The 26,777-nt window shown below is 47.0% G+C and overlaps 1 protein-coding gene across 3 annotated transcripts in view, besides 3 other annotated features; it reads right to left on the reverse strand.

Annotated features, from left to right (window-relative positions):
* TTC7B (tetratricopeptide repeat domain 7B) overlaps positions 1 to 26,777 on the reverse strand; it is a 291,867-nt gene that overhangs the window by 79,548 nt on the left and 185,542 nt on the right. For 2 of the 3 annotated variants that reach the window (NM_001320421.2, NM_001010854.2), the window contains exons 16-17: positions 13,818 to 13,934; positions 6,631 to 6,728 (exon numbers count right to left, since the gene is read on the reverse strand). In NM_001320421.2, the coding sequence (NP_001307350.1) occupies positions 6,631 to 6,728; positions 13,818 to 13,934 (215 nt within the window). Of the gene's footprint in view, positions 1 to 1,485; positions 1,648 to 6,630; positions 6,729 to 13,817; positions 13,935 to 26,777 lie in introns of all 3 variants that reach the window. The other variant, NM_001401365.1, reaches the window with a different exon arrangement.
* Positions 10,926 to 11,447: an enhancer, noted in NCBI's record as "H3K27ac-H3K4me1 hESC enhancer chr14:91081381-91081902 (GRCh37/hg19 assembly coordinates)". NCBI's record gives its function as "activates a minimal SCP1, AML or CMV promoter by ChIP-STARR-seq in naive H9 embryonic stem cells {active_cell/tissue: H9 hESC(naive)}" and the evidence as "EXISTENCE:reporter gene assay evidence [ECO:0000049][PMID:30033119]".
* Positions 12,794 to 13,088: a silencer, noted in NCBI's record as "tiled region #13818; K562 Repressive DNase unmatched - State 9:DNaseU". NCBI's record gives its function as "represses a minimal TATA promoter and a strong SV40 promoter by Sharpr-MPRA in K562 cells {active_cell/tissue: K562}" and the evidence as "EXISTENCE:reporter gene assay evidence [ECO:0000049][PMID:27701403]".
* Positions 21,308 to 21,940: an enhancer, noted in NCBI's record as "H3K27ac-H3K4me1 hESC enhancer chr14:91091763-91092395 (GRCh37/hg19 assembly coordinates)". NCBI's record gives its function as "activates a minimal SCP1, AML or CMV promoter by ChIP-STARR-seq in naive H9 embryonic stem cells {active_cell/tissue: H9 hESC(naive)}" and the evidence as "EXISTENCE:reporter gene assay evidence [ECO:0000049][PMID:30033119]".

The raw sequence follows: 26,777 nt of genomic DNA on the forward strand, positions 1-26,777 counted from the left end.
ACAAGATGCAACATGAAAAATACGGGCAGGTGGGTCTGTTGTGCAGAAAAGAGTGGACAGGGAAGTGGGAACATACCATGTTATTCTAGAATGGGAAGATCCCATTTTCAGACAATAAACTCATCAAAAGTCAATGTAAAGAATTTTTCTAGAAAAATCGAAGTTGGCAATTGCCAGTAGGCATTGTATTAAGAGAAAATGTCTATTTTAAGAAATGCATGAAAAACAACATACACGGTGTTTAAACAGTATCTTCATCTTCCATTTCATAAAACTGGGATTGCCATTAAAGCAAAATTCAGAACACTTAATATGCAGATAAGTACGGTCAGCGGGTTTCTCGGCGTGGATGGTTTATTTTGAATGGTAATCTAGTTTCTGCCCTGGCTTTGTGTGTGTGAGAGCTGAACAAAGCGGGTGAGCCATCAAAAGATATGCACATTAGAGATAGTGGTTCTTTCTGGCAGCAGTTCCCCTTAAGAGCTTTTGTTCAGCACATAACTGGGCATTTGGAACAAAGATGAGCCCTTATAAATCACAGATATAGAGATTAAATTTTCTAGCAGTGCTGGCAGTGAACATTAAATAAATGAGCAAAAGAAAACAAGGATGGGCTCCCCGGGTCAGATTCATATTTAGGTCCTATTTAAGGGTTTTACCAACCAGTGTTCATTTTCACACAGGGATCTTTCTTGTTGCTGTTCATGGACAGGTTCTGGAACTCCCTAAAGCCGACTTTCAAAATTTCCGTGTTATTTAAAAGCAAGATTAGACTAAAATACTATTCAATTTCTCTGCATAGTTTCACGACACAAACCCTACATTTTCCTTCACTGCAAATGGAAAACAGTTTACAGCACTGTTTCTCAAAATGTGGTCTAAAACCCACTGGCATTGGAATCATAGGGGAGCAATTTATAAATCCAGATTCCCAGGCCCCACCTCAGGCCTAATGAATATAAAGTTGGGGGTGGGGACCAGGGGATCCGCTGCTTTAAAGGTTTTCTGTGTGGTTTTAACGCATGGTAAAGTTTGAGAACCACATGCTGAAAGGGCTGTGGCCCTGATCTGTAGAATACGGCCTTGATGATTATACGCTGGTTGAATTCATTTCTAAATTGAAAACGGGAGTTTTTGCGCAAAATGTCGTAATTTGCCTTTTAATAGGATTTTTATGCATTTATATCAACTCCAGGAAAGCACGGAAGGACCCAAGGATTAGAGGCAATATTCTAGAAAAACTTCTATCCGTTCTGCCCAGAAGGTTTCCTTTACTTTGCAAAGAGGAAGTTGAGGCATGGGCTCCAATGCCTGCAATCTCAGGTTTCCTTCTGCCCCAAACAGCTTTTGGATTTTCAAATGAGCAAGATTTCTCTCTGACAAGTCTGATGAAGTTTCCTCTCCAGCTTATCAGTTAGGAAGATTATCAGAAGGTAAAACACGCAAATGAAGTAGGTCTCACAAGAAAGGAAAAACCATGTTTACAGAGAGAGGGTTCCCGGCGGGGACCTGCGTCACTGAATGAATGAGCTGCAGGGGGCCACACAAAGGTATCGGGTTTGGGAGAATGAAGATGAGAAGACACAAACAGGTGGAGAGGAGATTCGGTTCTTGAAAGAGGAGAGGAGGAGGAGGAGGAATCTGACACTAAAAAAGTGAAAGAGAAAAAAAGGGTGAAGGCAAAAAAAAAACTTTAGAAACACAAAGAAAAAAATAAACTCGCTTTTAATATACTCACATAAGCTGCAAAGAAAATGAGGTCATGTAATACACAATCATTCCTCTACCTGACAATAGAATACAAGTGCTTTTCGAAGAAAACAAATTTGTTTTTCCACTGGTTATTTAGTTGGTCCGCAACAACACCATGGAATAAAAATAACTCAAGATTTACCTGGGCACAGATTCAGCAGTGTGATCTGCTGAAAATAATACATCTTTAGCCTACAATATCCAGAACATTCTAGAGGAAGCAATTTGCTTTTCAACTGGAAAGGGTTAGGACTTGACTTTACATAGATTTGTTTTTTATGAGAAGCACTTATATACAGTTTACTTGAAAATAAGGTTTTCCAAGGTGCAGAGTACTGAGGTGCAACACTATGTCATGGTCCCAGCATTATGACAAGGGGGTGCTAAGCTTTCTGGGGTGGCCTATGGTTGGGGTGTGCTGGTTGGGCACTTTGGGAAAAAAGCCGGTATGGCTGCCTTCATGTCTTACAGCTGGAGAAACACATGGCAACGGGGAGACCACCGCCGCTGCAATTAGAAATTTTCCCAAACAAAGTGGATCAAACTTTCAAGTTAAAATACTTATTTTGCGTTGGATAGGTATTTGTTGATATCTATCAATTATTAAAGATAAATCCCCTTACCCCACATCCTGTTTTAAAGGCAAAGGAATAAAATATTTTTTTCATTCTCTATTTAAGGAACTACCAACTTATTCCAAAGAAAAGACAATGACTCAGAGCTTCAAAGTAAAGACTGTCACTCTATTTGAGTCCTCTTTCACTGGCTGGGACCTATGAGATGGCAGAGGTGGGAGGAAGGGACGCCCAAGGTGATACCTAAGGGGAAGTCATGTTCTATAAGGGGGGCTATTTTAGTTTGACATGTCTGTTTAATGAAACAAAATTCCACTCTATTAGCTACAGTGGACTTGGCCAGTTCAAAGCTTATGGACGTGGGTGACTCCTCATGTTATTCCACAGCTCTGCATATGGACAATTTCAGAGGTAGGAAACCGTATTCCAGTTAACCAACCACTTCCAAAATCATGAATACTGAGGCTGCACTGTATAAGGACCCAGGATATATAATAATAGTATTGTAGTTATATATTTTTAAGCTCTTATCAGTTACACATATATCCTGAAATTTTAACAGGCAAAATAGGATATTAGGGACTGGCCTTAAAATACTCTAGGAAAAGCAAGTGTGGGACAGGAGAGAGAGATCGAATGAGAATGCTGATTGCTAAAACTCACTGGTGGGTAACGGGAATATTAGTATCTCTGTTCTGGCATTTTAGAAATTTTTCCATAATAGAAATTAAAAAACAGAAAAAAAATAAATTTAGTTCTGGGGGAAAACAAAACAGATCCAAGAGGACTTGCGGCCTCACAAAGGAATCTGCCTGCACAGCGGGTGATCCTGGGCCTGTGCCCCAGGGTTGGCAGGATCTCGAAAGTGGAAGTTCACTGTGGCTGTGGCTGTGGCTGTGCACCCTCACGGATGCTAACACTGCAGGGCTCTGCTTGTGTCGGACGCCTGTGCCCTTTAAAGGGGACTTAGAAAAGCAGTTAAGTGTCGGGCATGACGCTGATAAGCTGCCACCCGCCAGGGCTGGGTTCTCCCAGGCCACATTTGATCTCAGGGTCACTTCTGTTTCACTGGGAACCATTCTGATCTCGGATAAGTTCCTTTTCTCTTTGCCTCTATAGCCCAGTCGCTTTTCTGGATGAGCAGTGTTGCAGCGGATGTTCAAAGTCAGCCAGGCTCTTTTAGCACATGAACTGAAAACTGTTCAAAGGCAAAGGGAGGAAAAATGACTGCGGTCATGCTGGATGGATAAGAATCCAGAATGTAAAATCCATGTGTCATGGAATACTATATGGCTGTAAACAAGAATAAGGCAATTCTCCACAGATGGGTATGGAGGCATCTTCAGATACACTGTGAAGTGCAAAATGGCAGGTGCTCAAAAGCATACACAGTGTGTGGTTGTTTATGTAAAGGGGCAGAGGAAAGATACATATGCTTGTTTGCATGAAAAAATACTGGAAGGGTAAACAAAAAGCTAATAAATACAGTTATTTTTAGGAACAAATAAGATGGATGGGCAGGGGTGGAAGCCAAACTTCTCTACAGCACCTTGTGAATTAGTTTTTAGCTTTTGAATTATGTAAATGTATTTCCTCTTCAAATCAAATCAAGGTGAGGGAATAAACAATCTGTGTTGTGGGTGGTTCGCAAGGCGGGCTCTCCACACAGGTGTGTGAATGACAGCATCTGCCCCTTCTTGACTGCACCATGAGCTGAACCATATGCAACTGGGCTTTATTAATCAAGATGGAGGCATTTTTCCCCATTTTTAGGCAAGCCTTCCCAACGTGTAAGTTTCTTTGATTGACACTGTCATTTCAGAATATTTTACCCTCGTTTACAAATATGATAAGGCCTCCTAAAATGGCCTTCCATTTTTCTGATTCCCTGGTCTCTTGGTTAAATTGTCGGCGTGCAAATCAGTATTTTGCAGCTGCCTGGTTGGGTCGGGGGTGGTGTAGGGCTGGTGGCAGGAGTCTCAGAAGGACTCGCGTGGATGACTCAACAATGAAACCGTCTGTGGCAGTGCCTGGGAGGCTGTGGCTTCCCTGTTGTTGAGGAAGGGCATAGGAGCCCGCGGTCCTGACTCCAAACACCTAGGCTCTCTGGAAGTGAATGGTGGCCCACCCGAGAGACTGGCTGCATCAGTACCACTAAGCAGAGGGGGAGGAGGAAGACCCGGGGGCCAGGCCCAACCCAGGGCAGTGACACCGCAGACTGTGTCACACAGGCACATCTTCCCTAAACACCATGGCATCTGAGAAAGCTGAATCTGAAGAGGGAGACTCTCAAGCACTCTAGGAAAAATGTCCCAATGGGCAACGGGAAGAATGAATAACAAGGACCTCATTTATTTTCTGACACTACCTGTTCTCAATGTGATGTGGCTTTAAAGTCTTGGGACCTCCAGGGAAATTAAGGTCCAGGCCAGCTGGAAGGAAAGGGGGTCTGAATTTAGTGTGGCTGTTCTCACAGGATACTTAGGAGGGAGAAAAGTGGGGAGACGGCGCTGGGTAGCCACAGCAGCTGTTTTGAATCAGCTGAAATTGCTGCTGGTGCTATAGTGAGTTTCACTTCCTTCTCTTCCCCATGTCCGAGCCTCACCTTGCAGTGGCTAGTCCTGACAGCCTGACCTCTTTCCTACAATGACGGGGCCTAAACAGGTCCCTCGGCAGGAGCTGGGATGATGCAGAACTCTGCTGTGCTATTCCAGCCAGGCTCTCTGCCTGGTGTGCAGTCTAAGCCCACCAATGACTGCTGAACTGTTTGGAGAGTGGTCAGGCCACTCCAGGGGGTGAGTTTCTCCATGGCTCAGTCCACATTTTAAGCAGCAGCTGCAAGCCAGATTAAACTGCACCAATTTACGATTTGTGCCGCTTCCAGTGCCCAAAAATCTTTTTACCCAGGAGCTGCAGGACTTTTGGATCTGATTTCTCAAGCTGACTTTAAATTTGGTACAAGGGAGCCTAGGGCAGAAATGCAGTCTGCAAGGCAGCTGTTGGGGTGGGCCAGGCTTGAACATCACATCTGGCTCCCAAAGGCCCTATCCCTTTTAGCCCACCTGGATAGGTTTTTCCCAGGACAAGCCCTGGCAGTGCAAGACTCAGAGCTGCTCTCAGGCTTTCTTTGGAAAGGTTCTGGCAGAGCTGGGATGTGGCACAAGGACAAGAAAATAACCTCGTGGTCCCTGTCATGCAGCCAGCCCATAAAAGACCAGGCATACCCAGATAGAAATTCAGTTGTACACGGTCCCCTGTGGGTGGGGGAGAAGGAACAGGAGCAGGTTCCAAATGATGCTCTAGAATGATTTTTGAGGCTCAAAGAAGAGCAAATTTATATGTTTTGTGAGTCTGTCGAGTCACCCAGATTACAACTGAATCATTGGTATGGGTTGAGCATCCCTAATCTGAAAACCCAAAATCTGAAATGCTCTAAAATCGAGATGTTTCTGAGTGTTAATACAACACAAGTGGAAAATTCCACACCTGATTTCATGTGATGGGCTGCAGTCAAAATGCAGTCAAAACTTTGTCTCATGAACAAAATTCTTTAAAATATTGTATAAAATTGCCTAAATTTAGGCTGTGTGTATAGGTGTATATGAAACAGAAATGGACTTTGTGTTTAGACTTGGGTCCAATCCCAGGATATCTCATTATGTTTATGCAAATATTCCCAAACCCAACACACTTCTGGTCCCGGGCATTTCGGGTAAGGGACACTTCACCTGTGTCACCACTGTGGGGTCTACTCCCCTGTAGTTAGGTGGACTCACTCCCCTGTACTTAGGCAAATGTGGAACACACACACGACGAGGTGTGCAGATTTGCTCATAGGCAGGAAGTGCCTCGGGCTTCCACATGGGGACAGTGGAACCCACCTGCCACCCTACGGGGTCTTGTGCTGGGTGTATGTGTGTTTATATGTGCAACTGATTAGAAAGTGAACCTTGCTTTCAGCAAGGTCTGAAACCCAAAGAGAGAGGGAGACACAGGGAAGCAGAGGGGAAACCTGATGGGGACAGAAACCACCTCATTTTAGTTTCAAATTTTAAGTTCCAAGAGCAAAGGGGGAAATAGATTTCAAAGAAAGCACTGGGCTGGGCAAATCATATGACCGTCCCCACTGTGAAGAAACACTTGAGAAAGACACTGGAGCAATGCACCTCGGTTGAGTGTTTAAACTATTTGTGCAAGAAATTTTTCCAACCCCAACCCGATCAGTCTCATCCCATGTCACTTGGTCCCAGGCCCCCACATTCTCCATTACACCATTTCGTCCCCTCTGGCTTTTTATTCTCACCTGTCTCGGGATCGCTGAAGTCTGGCAAAGTAATTGTATTAAGCTGTCGTCTGTCAGCAATGGTTCTATCTAAGAGGCTGCTCCCACGTCCAGAATCACTGCAAAACACAGCTACAAATGTCAGTCACCTGCAAGGTGGGAGGAGGGAAGGAAAGAGAGGCAACCAATACTGACTCCTGAAGGCCAATGAATACTTTCTGTGCATTTTTTACGTTCTTCAGCATCTTTCTTATGAAGGAGGCATCCTGCTTCCTGGCTTGGCCTGGGCTGCGATTCCTTTCAGTGTTCACTATCACAAACAGGGCATAAACCACACCCACAGACCCTGGCTAATTTTGGCCTCTTTTATGTCATTAGAAGACACAAAAATGAAAACTTGAAGCTTCATTTTCCATCCACCTTACAGGGGGAAACCGACTGGCATTAGCAACCTTAGAAAGTGAAGTCTTAGCAAGTGAGTCCATGAACACGCCATCCATGAAGAGTTGTCTTCATGAACCAATGCTCCACACCTGCGCTTCTAAAACCCAGGCTGCACGGAAAAATCACCCAGGACATCTCTAAACAACAGACGCCTAGGTCCCACTGTGAACCGAACAAATCAAAACTCCTGGGCTGATCGACATTTTTCACAGCTCCTCAGATGGTTCTAAGGTGCAGCTGCTGGATTCAAGAACCCCTGACCCCCTTTTCTGAGTGTGATCACAGTCATGCACTCATTCTGGGGTCCCCAGAATGTAGGCCTTTGTGCTACATCGTGTGGTTAACTTTCCTGCTGGTGTACGAGCCCTGTCTAGTGTTCCCAAGCTGGAGAAAGCTGGCTGATAGGGACACACAGGGACTGGGAGAGAACATGGCAGGGTTTTGGTGGCAGCCTCCATACCACCACTCCTACCAGCTTCCTGCACTGCCCATCTCTACTGAGTCCCCTCTCTAGCTTGTGCCTATAAAACAGGCTTGGCACTGTTCACCCGGTAAAGCCACACGGAAACCACAGCGGGCCTAACAGGGAGAGAAACTGTTAAGGGATCTCATCTAACATGGATTTCTTTTTTAAATTCTAGGAGGCTCGTAGGTAAACACTATTGCTTTATTCCTGTATCGTGATATCCTATCAAAGCAGCTCCAAAAAGAACCACGTCTGTCTCTTGAGGTTTGAATCTTCAATGCTTTTCTTTGAATCTATTTTCTTTTCCAATCTGGGGGCTTTAAGAGTGATTTTTTGTTGTGAAGAAGTTCAGATTCTACAATAAGGAGACACAATTTCCTTCCTTTATGCAGCTGTTGCTAAAGCAGTACAAACAAGATTTGGCATGAAACTTAATACAGTTTACAGGCTGCAATTTCCACGTCCAGCGATTTCTCTAACTACATTAGAGAAATCCACAGGAAGCAGAAGAAAACTTCCTTCAGGACAGACTATTTGTCAGCCTATACTTATTACATCATCCCAGACATGTTTTTTGGAAACTGCTCTTTCAATTGTTTCCATAACTGAGAAACAATACATGTCTGTGAACAGAAGACAACATAAAAGTACATGCAAATTTTCACTCATCACAACACTGAATATTTCTGGCGCAGGTCTGTCCAGGTAGCATTTTTCACATAAATACTACTAAGTACAAATTATCTGAATATTGCAATGCCCCTCCACTTAGGAGTTTTTCAGAAGATTTATCTCAAAATACAGTGAAACGATGACATATTATTCACCACCTTGGGGATTCCAAGACACACGATGAGGTATCGGCATTGCAAAGGAAGGATTTGCCTGGGTTTCTGGTGGTCCAAATCTGAGGTTTGTTTCAGACATTCTCATCTTCCAGGCCTCTCATCTCACCATGTTTTGGTGCTGTCACTAATGAGGAGGTCACTTTGGGCAAGACAGCTTTCCCTGTGCCTCACTGACTTCCCTGATCAGATGAAGATAAGGATTGTTGTCCTACACAGAACTGTGTGAGGATGACATAAGGTCACATAGATGGAGCACTCTGAAGACTTACAACTTCTAGGTACATGCCAGGTGTGTATAAAACCACATACCTACAACACACATCTGAGGTTAATATGGCCAGCCAATTCCTATAGCCAACTTATCCCTAGGCTTCTGGTGCAATTGTAGGAGGTATGGGGAAGCTGAGTTAAAATGTTAGAAACCCCAAACAAACCATCATCTGAATTTTGAACCTCACCCCCTGACAATGGCACAGGATCCACGTTCCCTCCACCAGCTGGGAAACAGCGTTCAGTTACATCCTTAGTGTGTCTGCCTTACTTCCTTTGGAAAACAGTGTGTACGCAACAATCAACTATTCAACATAGAGATGCTTTTGTTTCCACATTCAATGTTTTCTCTCTAAAAATATTAGGGCTGGGCACAATGGTTCATGCCTGTCATCTCAGCACTTTGGGAGGCTGAGGCAGGAGGATAGCTTGAGCTCAGGAGTTCAAGATCAGCCTGGGCAACATAGCAAGACTTCATCTTTATTAAAATAAAAAAATTAGCCAGGCTTGGCGGCATGCACCTGTGACCCCAGCTATCTGAGAGGCTGAGGCAAGAGGATGGCTTGAGCCTGGGAGACAGACTGTAGTGAGCTATGATCATGCCATGGCACTCCAGCCTGGGCGACAGAGCAAGACTGTCTCAAAAAAAAAAAATTAAAAATAATTAGGTATTTGTGACCGATTGAGAATTTTACTGGATGCTTGAAGCAATTTTTAGTTCTTCATTTACATGGTATAGAGTCTTTACCAATCAAGATTTACATTTGACTCCTAGAATACAGGACAAGGGGCAAGGAGAGGCCTTGAGCAACCCTGAGTCTCCCTAACTTGCTCACTCTGGACAGTCTCTCAGGCAAGCTGGAAAGTCACCTTCCTCTCTCCCTCTGGGACACATCTGCTCAGGCACTTCTGTGAACCACCCATTTCCTCCTCATAGCCCAGTCACCTCACCTCTTCTCTGCCGGGCCCTTAGGCTGCCAGGAGCACTTCCCAAGGAGGGAGGCAGGAAGGGAGAGAAAACCATTCCTGGTGAGTGTTGTAGTAGAGCGAAAGGAAACTGGAAGGACCCCAGATCCATGGTATGTAAGCGGGAGATGCCCACATGCGTAGATGCGCACATGCAGGGACTTCTATTCCCTATTATCACTGAATTGTCATGAGAGTTAAAGTTATACCGGCTATTAGAAGCCTCTCTTGGAAATCCTCTATCTTCCACAGAGGTTAAACACGAGAGGCTTGGTGGTGGTGGGGCGGGCTTGGAGTCAGAACCCTGGAGCTCTTGTCTCAGCTGAGCCTCTTCCCAGCTCCTGGAATAGTGCCTGGCACACAGTAAATATTGCACCTAAAAGAAGGGCCTCGGCTAGGAAACCAGAACAGGGGCAGATGAGAGAGGAACTTCTGTTTTTCTCCAGGTCTCTTAGGCCTGGATGATAAGAGTCAAGGTAAGCTCCCAATATCCCGGAGCCTCAGTTGTCTCATCAGTAAAATGGGTATGAGATCACACGACCTTGGCCCATTTTATGGAGCTGCTTCAAAGATAGAATGAGGACATGCTTTATAAAAAGAAAAGCTCCACCCAAATGCTGGTGACTGTAAGGATGAAATGGGATCTCTGACTCCTAACTGAGGTTAGAGCAAAGAAATGTGAATGTGAGTATGTGTGTGTTTAAATGCTGTTTGTTGGCAAGTAACTGAAACAGGACTTTGAATCACCTGGAGATGTCACCTCATGGGTACATGATGGAGATGGGTCTAGTAGCAGTGACAAGAGGGGGAAAGAATTGGTTAACAATAAAAAATGAAAAGAAACTGGTTGTCAGCTCAAGAGAGGCAGCATGCCAGTGTGGAGAGAGCATTGATGTTAGGCCTGGGGCTGAATCACTGTTCTGCTACATATTCAATTGGAAAAACTTGGGCAAGTTATTTAGCCACTTTTAGCTTCAATTTTATTTTCTGTAAAATGGAAGTAACGGTAGCTATCTTGCAAGGCTAATGTAGGGATTGAAGATAACACATCAGTGGCCTAGTACAGTGCTGGCATGGAGAAGTTTCAATAAACGTGGTTATTACCATCCCTGGCTGAAATGCTGTGAGATTCAGTTCAGGGAGCCTGCTGGGACCTTCTGGTGAGATTCTGGTCAGAATTCACACTGTCTTGAGTGGCTGGGTCAATATGCACAAGGACTGAGGGAGCCTTACACTTCACCCAGTGACAGAAGACAAAGCATGAGACAGATTTCTATCCTAAATGCAAGCAAAACTGCAGACCGAGAGAAATAGAATCCAGGCTTCTGAAATGACAAACACCTCGCCAAATGTAAGAGAATGCCACCCACCATTTTGCTCACAGCAAGAGACGCATCTCCAACTGCAGGTGGAACACTATTTGCAAGTTTTCCAATGCTCAGTTTAGTGACTAGCTCAGTGTAATTTTTTTCCCCCTTTAAGCAAAAATCGAGAAGAGGGAACGGGTTGCTGAGAATATGAAGCTAGGGTCTATTCTCAATTTGGCCACTCACTCCCTGCTACTGCCCACGTCTTCCTCATCTTACTGCCCTGGAGGCCTGTGCAGAGCCTGGGGTGGATCTGGAAGGGGGTGGGAAGACTGGGAAACTGGCAGATAGAGCAGGGGGCCCATTACAACCCAGCATGCTCAGAAGCAAGGAAGCCGGGAAGTCAGCACAGACCAGCTCCGGGGAGAAGCCAAATGCTGTCTGCCAAAATGCTTTCTGCTCAGTTTTCATTTTATTTTAAAGAAGCCATGATTCTTAGGCGCTTGTTCATGTAGTTCCACCTTCCTCTAAAACACTGTATGCCCTGATCCCAGCCTCTAGGCTGCTGGAGCCACTGCGGCCCCACTCGGGAGTGTTGCAAGGTGTGCTGTCCCCTGAAAGACACAGCCCTTCCTTCAGGCTTTATGCTGTTGCCAGGGTCACCTCTTACCGAGCAGGCTGGCGGGGATGACTACATTTACATAATGATAAGGGCTACAGGAGAAACATTTATTTCTATCCCAGAGAAAATCAAGTTAAAAAACCAGACAGGATGCTCCTTAATAAGGGCTGCTCAATTCACCACTCCTCCCTCCAGGCTTTGCGGGGAGCCGGAGGGGGAATTCTGAGTGACCACTGGGGCCTCTACCGCCCACCCCATCCGCCAGTCCCCACCAGACACTGCCTGGAGCCAGGGTCCTCCCCACTCTGGCCCTGAAGGAACCTTCAGGAAATGGAGGAAGTATGGACACAGCCCAGGCATTTGGTTAAGTATTTTTAAAAAGCTTTCCAATTCTGCTATTTTTTTCTCCTCACATTCAATATTCTTGGTTGCTAAGTGGGAGGGAATGTGGGGAGGTGGGAGAGGTGTGGGGAACTGAGGGGAAATTGGCAACACGAAGCTGATGGGTTTATTTTTTCATTTCTAAAGGGGGTACAGGCAAAGGAAAGCGCTCCGGCGCCGAGGCAACCTGCCTGGGCAGCATCTCCTGCTAGCTGGTTCGGAGGCAGACTCCCCCAAATCCTGAAGATTTCATAGGCCAGGAGTGGGGGCTTTCAGGGGAGATAAATATGGACAGTTTCTATTTTTGCTTCCAGACTTAGAAATGTAGAATTTTAAAAAAATTAAAATGATCTTTATTTTGAGAACATATCCACAAAAGGGAAGAGGCCAGTCTCATGATTACCTTTCACCAAGCGAAGGGCGGGTGCGCCCAGCAGCACAGCGCCGCGCCGCTGTTCCTGTGCTTGGGAAGGGGACTTCCAGCTGGGGGGGAGGTGGGGGCTGGGGCTGCCTGGCGGTGGGCAGGGCAGGGGCTGGACAGCTCATGGCTTTCCAGGCAGAGCTCTCTTCCTTCCAGGTGCACTGCCCGCAGGGCCTGGGGTCACGGGTCTGTCTATCAGTTTCCAGGGGGTCCATCCCCTTAACAGGGCCCTGACTTTGAACATTTTTTTTTAACTGCAGAAACATTTGTAAAACAATCTCACAGGGAACCCCATCTCTGTTCTGCTGCCTCCGTAGCCCTCCCTCCCTGCTGGTCTCTGCAGACCACGGCCACCAGCCCACTGCCCGCCTCACCCTTCGTACTCATTTATATTTTAGGTGACATATTTTTAGGCCCCTGACTCTTAAAAGCATGATATCAGCTGACCAGACACCTTACTAGGAAAGTAAAAAATACTCTGAGTATTGGAGCAGTTGTGTGAATTCACTTGAATCATTACATCCCTTCTCATTAAATGACTTCCTTCACTTAGTAATCTAAACATATGCAAGGGAAAACTGTGCAAGACTTGGAAATGGGCAAATAGGTGGGTGTCTGTCCGTGGAATGCTGGGGGTTGACCAGCAGACCTTCCCCGGGTTATCTGACTCTAAAGGGCAGGCACCGTTGACTCACTTCCCATTGACGGAGCTACTTTACAGCTCTGTAGGGGTAGAAATTAACCCGCGGAAAACTGATAATAAAGCAAGTGAATTTTGTTTGGGGGAGAGACAACTGATGTCACCCTGCAGTAAAGAACCCCAAACGATATCTTTCATCATCTTATAGGATGTTGTTTTTGTATCTACTTGCAAATCATTTCAGCATTCCTGCCTATGAGTATCTGTTCTTCAAACTCTTCTGTGAATAGGTCTTAACATTTTCCTGGTTCCTGCATTAGTTAATAAGGTAAATAAAATCTTTGACATGTGTTTGATAGTCGTATGCATCATGATTTTAACTTTTTCACAGTGATATTTTATGCCAATAGCCACTTCTCTTCTTAGTAGCATGCGGCCTGATGTCTGTGCAGGTCTTTTAAATATTGCTGCAGGAACCCCATCTGGACCACATAAATGACTGGTCTATACATAAATTACCAGAAAGATAAGACTGGTCAAAGGAGTTAGGTAAACGGGTGTTAGAGAGAAACTGGATAGAGATCCATTGTGAACTGAGTCCAGTGGGTCACTATGGCAGTGAAAGCAAAAGAAACCCAGGATCTGGAGGCTTCATCAGCCACTGGGAAAACAGCCCCTTAAACATGGAGTGTGAAGCTCCACTGCTATCATCTGCCACTTGTGGGGGCCTGGAGGTGCACAGGGGTGACAGAGTTAATGCCTGCTAAATGCCAATCAGAGAAGGCACTGATAGGCAGGGACCCATGCAAAAGCCACGCAAAGCAGGCCCTGCTGGCCTCTTACCTGGGGTTGGTGAGGTTGTAGCAGGATTTCCATATCTGCAGCATGTGCTTACAAGTCAGCAGTGCCTCGTCCGGGCCTCGGCAGAGTGACTGCAACTTCACTTTGGAAAACAGTAGTCTGCAGTGGGGAGACAAAGGGAGAAAACACCACGGCTCAAGCCACAGAGTCCCCATCCCAGCAAGACAAGTGGTGGGCTTAGACCCAGAAGCAGCTGTACTCATTTCAGAAAGGGAACATCCACATGTGTGGTCCAAGGAAAGCGGGATTCCAGAACTCCTGGCTCAAGGTGTTGCTTTGCACAAGTCTCACCACTAACGCAAATGCAAGCACGATGTGACTATTTGTGGTCAGGCTGAAAGCATTAGAGTGGCCAATTTTATTCAGAACACAGGGAATTTATTAAAAGCATGCTTTTTAGAACCAAACCAATTTATTTGTGAAACCTCAAAAACTCATTAAAAGCGAACCTTGGTTTATTTACAGAATTACACAGGAGATTTGACTCAGTTGATATAAATATCTACAGATAACCCTCCACAATGATGCTCACCGTCGTGTGAGCTTCGAAAGCCTGAACGGAAGTCCCATGAAGAAGGGCAGCCTCCGGCATAGGCCCTCAGCTCCTGTGTCTTCCCATTCCTGCTACTGAGGGCCTAGGGCTCGTTCCGCAATCACCTAGGTCTCTCTTCTGTATTTTTGTTACCATCAACTACTCCACCCTCCATCCAGACCTTCTGGGCACTAAGCTCAGAATGTTCTCTCTTTCGTGGCCCCACAGGGTAATGCCATTTCCAGATTCTACTTATGTTTCTCTGCCGACATCAGCCTAGGTACCTGTAGACATCAGCTCTCCTGGCCCCTGGACTTGTCACCACTATCCTAGTAAAAGTCCCAGTATGAGCCCAGCTTCCTTCCTGGTGTTCTTCCTGTCCCCTGACTTACCCGCTCTCACACATCTTATTATAAAGATCTCCAAAAATCATTCTTTTCCCCAAGACGGAGTCTTGCTCTGTCACCCAGGCTAGAGTGCAGTGGCACGGTCTTGGCTCACTGCAACCTCTACCTCCTAGGTTCAAGTGATTCTCCTGCCTCAGCCTCCTGAGTAGCTGGGATTACAGGCATCCGCCACCACGTCCGGCTAATTTTTGTATTTTTAGTAGAGGTGGGGTTTCACCATGTTGGCTAGACTGGTCTTGAGCTCCTGACCTCGTGATCCTCCCAAAGTGCTGGGATTATAGGCATGAGCCACCGCTCCCAGCCCCCAAAAATCATTTTTGTTCTCACCTCGAGAAACTACAATGATCCCTTACTTATACTGTCTGTAATAATAAGTCAAAATTCTGTATCTCATCGTTTAAGGCACTCCACCAACTAGCCACTCTTCTTTCACTGTCTCATCCGATTGGACCCTTTACTTCTGCCAATGTAATTCATAGGCCAAATGCTACTTTTCTGGCACAACTCTATGGCTACACATGCCACGTCCCCAACTTCAACTTCTACTCATGCACATCTTTCTTTAATTCTTCCCAAACCCAGCCAAAACCCCACTTAAATAAGTAAGTCTTCAAGTTTTAACCCCTTATCTTCTCTACTCAGTATGTGCCATATTAGCTGGCATTTGTTGTTAATAATAAAAAGAAGAAAAAGAGAGGGAGGAGCTCCTGCTGACCGAAGGCATCCCACGTGCCAGGCCTTGTGTTTGGCACTTCACACGCTGTCAATGTCCTTGGAAGAAGCTGTCAAGGCAGGTGGTGTCTAACACTCTTCAACAGATATGGAAACTGAAGCTCTGGTGCCCTTTGGTTGTTTTCTGGATGTGATTTTCTTCCTGAGGACAAGAGCCCTGACATCTCTCTCTGCCTCTCTGTAGCCTCACCTCCAGTTCCAAGAATTGTGCTCTGAGTTTGATGGGCCTTAAATCAGCATTTACTCACTGACTACTTTTTCTATAAAGCAAGGCATTTTAGAGATTTCAGCTGGACATCCAGGAGAATTCCTTCACCCTGCATGATGTGATGTCCTCATTCAAAGGTACCTTAGAGGAGGAAAGTCTCTTTTTCATGTGTGAGAGGTGGAATGAAAGTGGTCCTAACCCATCACTGCCCAAGCTCAGGATGGGTTCACACCAAGCGCCCCCAGCGACCCCTCCAAATGGAACATAGGAAGTCCAGGGCGGTGCGGTGCTCCCAGTGGGGCCACGGCTGCAGCCTCCCCATGCCTGGGCTTGCAGAAGCCTGGAATGATGGGACGAGGGCCAGGTAAAGGGAGGAATGTAGTCTCTGATCTACAAGCAGATGAGCATAAAGAGCGAGGCTAGATGTGAGAATAGGGCTCAGCTTCTGCTCAAAAACATCCCAAGAAGCGGAAATGCTTTGGAAGCCTTACCAAGACTGCCTAAATGGGATGGCAGCCGCTCAGGGTGCCTCTGTGGGGATTAAAGACACCAGAAGCTGGCTCCTGCTGAAGCCTGCCCGAGTCCAGAACAAGATGGGAGTACTTTTCCACCAGAATCTCTCACCAAACAGGGGTCAACTGGGAGAGTTGACAAAGGAAGGAGAAGCTGCCAAACAGGTCACCATTGGGTAGAGAGGGTGGTAAGGCATGAGTGCCAAGCAATTGCGGCAAGGGGAGGCCCCATGGAGGACTGTGGGGGGTCCAGGAAGCCGTGCACGTGCTGCACAGGCTGGAGCTCTCTGGGGGCCATGCCAAGAACTCCCCTCCAATGGCGCCTGCCCCCAGAGGAGGTGCCTGCCCCACAGCGGGCAGTGGGGTGCCTCTAATAGCAATGAACTGTGGTTCCTTTAACTGTACCCAAAGGACAGAATGCCAGAGTGCGTCTCTAAGCCTCAGCTTGGGGGAACAGTTTTGAGCAAGCCTTCTTGGCTGGAAAAAGAACTTCTAATTAACATAAAATAACAGCTTTCAAACACTTGACTCAGGATATGGAATTGAAAAGGTGTGGGCTTGCATTTCAGAGAACCAGACAGGAAGAACAATGGTAGAGTGGCTGAGCACAAACGATGGAAAAAAGCACTTGGAAGACCTCTCAAGAGGAACAGCATGAGAGAGGCTGGCAGAGAAAAGGAGCCAGGGACACAGCAGGGACAAAGAGGAAAGCCTGACAGCTGCTGCCTAGGTACGGCTGGGATGATGGGGCAGAGGCCACATGGGTTTGGCTGGGATGATGGGCAGAGGCCACACGGGTTCGGCTGGGACGATAGGCAGAAGCCACATGGGTTCGGCTGGGACGATAGGCAGAGGCCACGTGGGTATGGCTGGGACGATGGGCAGAAGCCACGCAGGTAGGCCACGTGGGTATAGCCAGAATGTTGAGCAGAGGCCACGGGGTACAGCCGGGACGATAGGCAGAGGCCACGCGGGTACAGCCGGGACGATGGGCAGAGGCCACGCGGGTACGGCCGGGACGATGGGCAGAGGCCACGCGGGTACGGCCGGGACGATGGGCAGAGGCCACGTGGGTACAGCCGGGATGATGGGCAGAAGCCACGTGGGTACGGCCGGGACAAGTGGCAGAAGCCATGCGGGTATGGCTGGAATTATAGGCAGAAGCCACGTGGGTACGGCTGGGATGATGGGCAGAAGCCACGTGGGTACGGCTGGGACAAGTGGCAGAAGCCATGCGAGTATGGCCGGAATGATAGGCAGAAGCCACACAGGTTCAGCTGGGACAATGGGCAGAAGCCACACAATTGTAGGCAGTACAATGGGCAGAAACACCTGCCCTGCCCGTCGCCAACACTCCTTGGGATGCCCAAGGGAAAGCAGGAACAGAGCGTGCTGCCTTTCCATCATTTCCTCAAACCTCAGCTTGTTTACAAGATACAAAACAATACTGAAAACAAGCAGTGATGCTCGTCATCCTATTTGCTGAACCTGCTTACACACTTCAAGACTGTTCAAAAACATCTGGCTGGGTGTATGTTACATTAGCACAGAAACGAAGAGTACACAAACAATGATCAGCATTCATTTGCTACAGCTGATACCAAAAAGATATAGATTCGATGTGCTGAGGAAACCCTGAGGCAAAAAGAAAATTATGGAAAAACTTGGGAAAAGTTAACATTTAATACATTTCAATATGTCTAACTGTCAACACGATGAAGAGGGCAGAGGAGATGCAGGTGAGACTGTAAGCTAGCCACACAAAGTTCATGATTCTAATTTTTTTTTTTTTTTTTTTGAGACAGAGTCCCACTCTGTTGCCCAGGCTGGAGTGCGGTGGTGTGATCTTGGCTCACTGTCAACCTCCGCCTCCCAGGTTCAAGCAATTCTCCTGCCTCAGCCTCCCAAATAGCTGGGACCACAGGTGCATGCCACCACACTTGGCCAATTTTTGTATTTTTAGTAAAGACAGGGTTTCACCATGTTGGGCAGGCTGGCCTTGAACTCCTGACCTCAAGTGATCTACCTGCCTCGGCCTCCTGAAGTGCTGGGATTACAGGCATGAGCCACCGTGCCCAGCCATGAATCTAATTTAAAAAATTTATATATTAGCCAGGCATGGTGGCTTAAGCCTGTAATCCCAGCACTTTGGGAGCTGAGGTGGGTAGATCGCTTGAGCTCACAAGTTCAAGACCAGCCTGGGCAACATGGTGAAACCCTGTCTCTACAAAAAAATATAAAAATTAACCAGTTGTGGTAGCGTGCACCTGTAATCCCAGCTACTCGGGAGGCTGAGGTGGAAGGATTGCTTGAGTCCTAGAGGTCAAGGCTGCAGTGAGCTGAGATCATGCCACTACACCACTCTAGCCTGGGTGAAAGAGTGAGACCCTGCCCCCACTTCCCCCCAAAAGAATTATTTTGTTCACAGACTCATTAAAAACTTACAGAAAATTAATGAAGAAAAGAAGAACCTTGCTAAAATACCAATCTAACTCCATTACTGATGACCCAAATCTAGCATTTCATACAATGCCTTTGCGGTCTGGCTCCTGTCCACCCACATGCTTAGCTACCAAAGGATTTGTCCATTGCCCATCACCTACGCCCCCACTCGAGCCGTGGTCAGCTTCCCCCATGTGTCACTCTCCTCCATGACCCTGGGTGTTTGCACATGCTGTTCCCTCTGTTTGGAATATTCTTTCCATCCATTTCTGCCTTTTAAGCACCTACTCATCCTTCAAGATTCAGGTCAAATAGCAACTCCTCACTGAAGCCAGCCTTAAGTAATAGGAGTTAAACCTTCCAAATGGAAACATAATTATAAAAAACACGAGAGCTCACAACTGTGAAATCATAAGCTACAAGCCAGGAAACTTCTGCTTTGAAGACAAGCAAAATAATAACAATAATAACAGCAGCTGCCAGACACTTTAAATATTTAATTCCAGATTCTTAACGACAACCCTGCAAATGAGGCTGAGTTAAGTAATTTGCCCAAATTAACACCACTAGTTATTGGTAGAATGGAAATGTAAACCCAAATCCATGTGAATAAGAAACAGAGAAGGATGATTGAAAATCCCACCATACTACTGGCACTAATGAAGATAGCGGCACTAAAGAAGATCCATTGCCAAATATTTAAAACTCCAAAATGTGCAAAGCTCTGTGCTGGCTATGTTTAATACAAAGTGGTATAAAATACAGTCCCTTGCTTACAAAAAATTTACAATCCAATTGGAGAAAAAGACTTGACCACTACTATTGGGCAGGATTTCTAGTTTTGGGCCAGATGATGGCCCTGAAACTTGAGTAGGGCTGCAGGTGAGCAGGCGTTTGGGCTACCAGGGTGTTGCTCCTGGGATCTTTCATATACAGTTCTTTAAAGAACAATCACATTTGGCTGGGCGCTGTGGCTCACGCCTGTTGTCCCAGCACCTTGGGAGGCCAAGGCAGGCAGATCACTTGAGGTCAGGTGTTTGAGACCATCCTGACCAACATGGTGAAACCCCGTCTCTACTAAGAATACAAAAATTAGCCAGACGTAGTGGCACACATCTGTAGTACCAGCTACTCAGGAGGCTGAGGCAGAAGAATTGTTTGGACCCAGGAGGCGGAGGTTGCAGTGAACCAAGATGGCGCCACTGCACTCCAGCCTGAGCGACAGAGACAGACTCTGTCTCAAACAACAAAACAAAAACAAAACAAAACAAAACCCATGAGTGTGCCTGTATGCATATGCGTGTGCGTGTATATGTGTGCATGTGTGTGTGCGCGTGCGCGTGTGTGTGTTTTGTGACTTGTCTTTCATCTAAAAGTCTGGTGCACATAAAATCTGGTTTTTTGAAGGACCTCGTTAATCAAAGTTTTACTTTTCATTAAAACAAATAGAAATACTATTTTACTGTACTTCTGGAATATTTTAAGAATCTCAAGATAACTCTTGAAATAACAACTATGTTTGGATAGGGCAGGGCTTAGAAAGAAGACACAACTGCCCCTGGGGAAGCTCTGGGGCACGCGGCATTGTGACTGTCCAGTGTTCACCTCAGGAAATGAGTCAGAGCGGCACTTGTCAGGGCCATGCTCGGTGTCTCATGCCATTCCCCAGGAAGACTTCGCTGACTCGCTGGAAACTGCTCCCAACCACTGGACATGCACCTCTAGTACCTCACACCCTAGTTTAGTTTTAGCCTTGGCCCCACCCCAGTGAGTCCCAGACTTGGGCAGGGGCCAAAGATAGAGTGAAAAGGGCAGATATTTCTGAATTCTGAGCCGTCCGAAGAACTCTCGATGAAAATAAGTTAGAGAAGTTCAGAGAAATACTAAAGTAATAATTCCCTCCCATCTTCTGTGTCAGTATAAAAAATGTGCTGATTATATCAAGGAAGAAACACACATATTAATACACAAAACCTTCACTAATTAGGTGATCCGTGAATGCTGCAGTCTTAGTAACTGCTTTAGAGGTAACATCACGGGAACCTTGAACATTTCGTATCTTGTGCTGATCTGTGTTTGCGAGCTCCTGGGCTCTGCATGCCAGGGACCTGCTCTTTCTTTGTTTATCTACTGAATGCAGGCAGGAATGCAAAATGGCTGTGCAGAAAAGCATGCGGGATCTGCCCAAGCGGGGCAGCGGCTGAGGGGGCCCTGGATACCTTCCCCATCTCTTGCTGCCTCCTGTCCAGATCGGGGGAGCTGGAGTGAGGCTGGCTGTCAAATATCCGAAGGAAAGTGAGCATCTGTCACCAGGTAAGAGAAATAATGGATCAGGCTGAAGGGGGCAGGGGGCAAGTATGTTGAAATTTTAACTTGAGAAGGCTGTTTGGCAACTGGCCAATCAGAATGGTAAGAGAAGTCAAAAGAGATGTGCCAGTAGCATGTCGTGACCGGGAGAAGGCAGATGGGAATGTGAAACCAGAGAACTCGGCTGGGAACAGAGAGTCTGAGATCAGCCCAGTGCTGCCCAAGGAGAGGGATGTCATCGAATCCATCGACCCAGGCCCTCAGCAGGGAGGAGGGATTCCTTTCAGGTTCCCATGTGGCTGGAAGGAAACTGATCGCAATTCATTTTCACCACCATTTCTGAGGGCCCACCGTATGCTGCTCTTGGAGCCACTGCTCTCCTGGCTGGGTTTCCAAAGCACCCCAATCTCAGAAGGTGTTATATCTCTGCAAACAGCAGCCTCTGGTCCCAGGCTGAGTCACTGTCACTGAAAATCAATACCGTCACTGGCCCGACCTCCGCCAGGTGAGCCTATGATGCTGGGATGACAGCTGTGCACGTCCTGGAGCTGGGAGGCCTCAAATCACCCCGAGGCCCCTCTGGCAACAGCTGGAAGGGATGAGAAAGGATGGAACAGGTCATGTGACCATTCCCACTAGATACCAAATACTGCATGGGGCCTCCCAAAATGCACATCCTCAATAATGTCACGTGAATAATCGAATTCCTCAACGGTTACACAGGAAATAAACAATTCTTAGATCATCTGGCTTACCCAATTGCTGCATTGATGTGCTATTCATTGGGGTTCATTAGAAAACATATAGATGTTTCCAATTAACCCAAAGCTGGAAAAGGCCTTGAGGTCAAATAATACTTTGCTACTCAGAGTGTGTCCAGGGCAGGCAGCCTCAGAATCCCCTGGGAGCTTGCAAGAAATAGAAGAATCTCCAGGTTCTCCACTCACCTTAGACTTACTGAGTCAGAATCTGCATGTAACCAGATCACAAGGGGATTCATGCGCAAATTTAACGTCAAGAAGCACCGCTCTCATTCATAACTCTCCATCCTAACCTGCCATGGTCTGATTTTAAAAAGAAAAAAGACTTCCCAGGGAAGAGTTCTCACAGTCCCTGCACTTAGGAAATTCTGTGCTCATTTCATTCCAATAAGAACTGGGGGAGCATGTCTTGGAAGACATTTTTCAGGATGTATTTTGTTCTTAAATTCAGTGAGAATTCTGAACAACCATTTACATTAAGCCCCCAAAGGAAGGCCACCCCTGCCCGTGTCTTGAACAGAATGCTTCCTTCCTTCTGAAGGGATCCCCTGGATCACATTCTGAAGGTGCTCTAGCCCTGCCCGGGTCCTCCACACATCTCCAGTGAAGGAGCTGGGGAGTCCACAATGTACCCACTGAGGGGGTACCATTCATACTGTCACCCCCATAAAGGGCACCTGCTTGAGTCTGCAGAGCACTGAGTAACCATCCCTCTCCCATTGTGGGTTCCCCAGGGGCTGAGAACTCAAATGTCTTCCAAAACAGGCAAGTGCGATGACCAGAAGTTCAGCAAATTCAAACTTTTTTGAAACGTGCACTGGCCTGACACAACCCTGCTAGCAGATGCCAGCTTATGGGCTGCCAGCTGGAAACCGTGTCTATATGCTTTTCATCCATCAAACCTGAGTACCTGGTTTCTGTTACAAAACCCCAACCACATGCCAGCCCCGGTCAGTCCAGTCTGCCAACAGAACCAGTGACGGGGGGTTTAAAGAGCATGGATGACTCCTCTCCTAAGCGCGTCTTCTCTAGGAATGAAGCCCTGGCAAATCACTGGCCTGGGGAGCTTTTTGGCAAACTTCTGTCTGGGAGTTATTTAACCACCAAGGAAGTTCTAGAAACTTAACCACTTTTATTTATCTTGTTTTGTTTTGCTTGAGACAGGGTTTTGCTCTGTTGCCCAGGCTAAAGTGCAGTGGCTCGAGGGTCAAGACCCTCGACCTTCCAGGGCTTAAGAGATCCTCCCGTCTCAGCCTCCTGAGTGGCAGGGACTGCAGGCATGCGTCACCATGACTGGCTAATTAAAAAAAATTTTTTAGTAGATATGGGGGTCTCATTATGTTGCCCAGCCTGTTCTTGAACTCCCGGGCTCAAGAGATCCTCCTACCTCGGCCTCCCAAATTGCTGGGATTACAGGTGTGAGCCACTGCACCTGGCCCATGTGAACACATTTAATGTCTCCAGCTGCTGGAGAAGGGGTCGCAGCACACAAGGCTGGCACATCCGGGACACTCACAGGGCGTTCCTGCCACTCCAGTCTCACCCATCAGTGTGAGCGCAAGGCTGCATCATCCTAACCTAGACTCCCAGATCCACTGTCCTGGAAAAATCCAGGCCACATCTATTTAGCAAAATGAAGTTTCTCAGGGCCAAAGTATGATGAGGAGATACCTCGTTCTTCAGAACTTAGCAGCCCTTATCTTAGCTGGGAGGCTGTGGTGAGTGGCAGCGCTAGGGCCTGGGCCGTGGCCGTCCCGGGTGGTTTGGCTGCGCCTCTTGGTGTCCTAATCCTCCCTCTTCTTTATGACAGGCAGGAGCTCCTGTTAGAGCTCATATCAGTTACATTTTGCTTCTCATTTCAGTCAAAGTGTCAACAATCTGGAATACTCCCCCATCCTTCTAGCGGTATTTTTAGCACGAACAAACAACTGACATAGTTAGCTGGAATAAATCACCTCAAGAAACCCCAGTTTGGCTCATTTTTTGCTCCCACGTCAGCTATTAATCTCCACTCAGATTGGCATCCAGGAGCCGGCACCTAAGCTGGAGATGACCTGGTCAGGTGCAACTGAAAACACCTCTTGAACCTTACTGCCCGTGTTCCAAAGACCTCTCCAGTTCCTGTGAGTGACATTATAATGAAGGGAGCCATTTCATATAATGCCATCCGTGAAGCCAGAGAGTCTACACAGCCAGGGCTATTCCCGAAGGCTACCTGAGCGCATGGTGTTAGGGCTGGGGGCCTGCAAAGCAAGTGAGGGGCCCAAAACCCGCCCCCAGATTTGGAAAATGAATTGAACAAGTGCCTCTGGAACAGGAAGTGTCAAATAGCCATCTGCTAAGTACATACGTGAACAGGACATGTTTGAAAGCAAGTCTTCCTGTCAGACTACTCTGGCTCCTAAAATAAATACACTGTTCTCTCTGAACTGTGAAGCTTTTTGGTAATTTCTGACATTTGGGAAGCAAGTCCCGGGCCTCTTCTGTTCTGCCACCCTTCCTCTCCTAGAGGACCTTCTCTCTGGAGGATCTCTCGGTCTTTATTTCTGGCTGAGCCCCCAAGGCCCTGATTTCTCCACATGACCCAGTTTGAGGAGGGGAGCACAGTGAAGAAATGAGACATTGGGACCCAGTTCAGCAGACAACGGCAGATGCCAGAAGAATGGGAATCCCACCACCTAGACCTAGAAGGGGAAGGGCCTGGGCCACAGTGTGATATGGACTTGATCCATGAAGCTCTGTGATATAGAAATGGCGCCTTCTGCACAGTCAGGAGGGAACTAGGAAGGAAGGGGCCTGGCAGGGCACTGGGAAGCTCAAGCGGCTCTCCAGGACCAGAGGTGGATGATGTGTCTCTCTGGGCTCCAGGGCCACATGGGACCGCGCATCCTTGCATCAATCAGCTGCTCCTGTGAATCCTGGCCTGTTTTACATTTCCTGCCTTCTCTGCCTTCATTTCCTGTGTGTTTCCATGAGGGGCTGTTTGGTTTCGCATGGCTTGATTCCACTGTGCCAAGGGACACTGAAGGCAGCACTTTTGTCCATGCCTGGCCTAGAGCTCAGAAACAGACAGCCCTCCTCCCTGAAGGTGAGCGATTCTTCGGAGGCATAGCACGCTCCAGCGTGATTCTGCCTCCACATCTCACTGTGTGCTGCGTGAAGACTGGGATGGTGCCATCTCCGGCCTTGGCCCTCCTGAGCCTGGCACCATGCCTGGCTGAAAGCAGGCGCTCTCTACCCATGAACTGGGGGAGGTGTTCAAAGGACAGTGAATCTGATCATCTGAAGGTGGCTTATCAATTCTCCCCAGTTGTTTTCAGCTCAGGATCCCCACAAGAATACTTATAGGATAAATTTGGAGATTCTCTCATTTCTCTTCCCTGTTCTCAGGTTCCTTTTTTTTTCTTTTTTTTTAAATAGTAAACTTTCCTTACTTTAAAATGCAACCATTACAAATGAACTAGAATTCAATTGTGTTTGGAATATCTGATTTTTTTTCACAGCTGGCTGGGTAACCAGCAAGCACCTTATACCGCCCATTTGCAGAAAGTATGGCCATCATTTTATCAGACAGTGAAACTTGGCAGAGTAGAAATCAAAATGGATAACAGATGAAACACAGGCAGACACAAGCTTAGCTATGAACGAAGAGCTACCAGGCTACTCTGCACGGACAAAGTTTCAAGCATGCATTGCACAGACAGGTATTAATGTTTGTAGCAGGCAGCCCGGGGCCAGGTGCTGGGGAGCCAGAGGTTTCCAGGAAACACCTGCAAGAAGTCTCAAGAGGACACTCCCATACTCTGAATTGTTGAATGAGATATGGGGAGAACTTGGAGATCTTGGAAAGAAAAGCACAAAAATAAATAAACCTTCTGGATGCCATGACTCGCGGGGAGTGGCTTTGGTGTGGGCCTCACCATGGTGCCCCTCCTGGCCCAGCCTCGCCTCTCCCAGCTGCTCGGCTTTCTGAGCCCCCGGCGGTCAGCCAGTGCTCTCTCCTGTGGCTGACAGGGAGGCTGGGATGCCCTGAAGGCTGGTTCTCCAGCATCTTTGGAAAAAAAACTAGAAAAGGGAACTTCCCTGGAAAGGAAGCAGAATATCCCATGAGGATTTAAACTGGGGGACACCAGTCATATGCAAGCCTAGTACTGGTTGTGAAAATGGGGGGAGGGGTTTGGGCCAGCACCACTCCTAATCTCAGGACATGGCTGTCTCCAACCCCGGAGAAAGGAGGATCCTCTCATAAACAAACGTGGCTTCAAATACATTTTCCTGCCATTTCCCCTCTTCCAGTTCTTCTACTTTTGCCTCATAAACCAAATCTTCAGTTTCCAGACAATTTTTCATTGCATTTGGGGGATTTTGTCCCTCTTGACAAGCATCTATGTTTAGTGAAGGCAACAGCACAGAGCCAAAGCCTCACAGAAAGAGGACATCCATGCGCGTGGGGTGCTGGGAGGCTGCTTCCGTGGCTCAGCAAGTCCATCCCAGAAGAACATTGGCTCCGTGATGCAGAGCCGGAGAATCTCAAGAGCAGAAGGGTCCCTTGTCATCTACGAATGCTGGAAACCCTCCTGCAGCCACACATGTTAACAAAGGGAGCTCAGAAAGTTTCGTTTCTTTAAAATGTAGTAAAATATACGTAACATAAAATTTGCTAATGAGCTATTTTTAAGCGTACAGTTTAGTGGCATTGTGTACATTCACACTGTTGTGCAACCATCACCAGCCTCCATTTCCAGTACTCTATTCGTGTTGCAAAACTGAAACCGCACCCACTGAACAATAGCTTCCCATTCCCCCTCCCAGCCCTGGCAACCACCATTCTACTTTCTGTCTCTATGAGTTTGACTACTCCACGTACCTCATATGAGTAGAGTCACACATTATTTGTCCTTTTGTGACTGGCTTATTGCACTTAGCATAATGTCCTCAATTTTCATCTATGTTGGTACATCCATCAGAATGTCCTTCTATCTTGTTTTTTGTTTTTTTTTTTTTTGAGATGGAGTCTCACTCTATTGCCCAGGCTGGAGTG

Source organism: Homo sapiens, chromosome 14 (assembly GCF_000001405.40).
Source record: "Homo sapiens chromosome 14, GRCh38.p14 Primary Assembly".
NCBI lineage: Eukaryota > Metazoa > Chordata > Mammalia > Primates > Hominidae > Homo > Homo sapiens.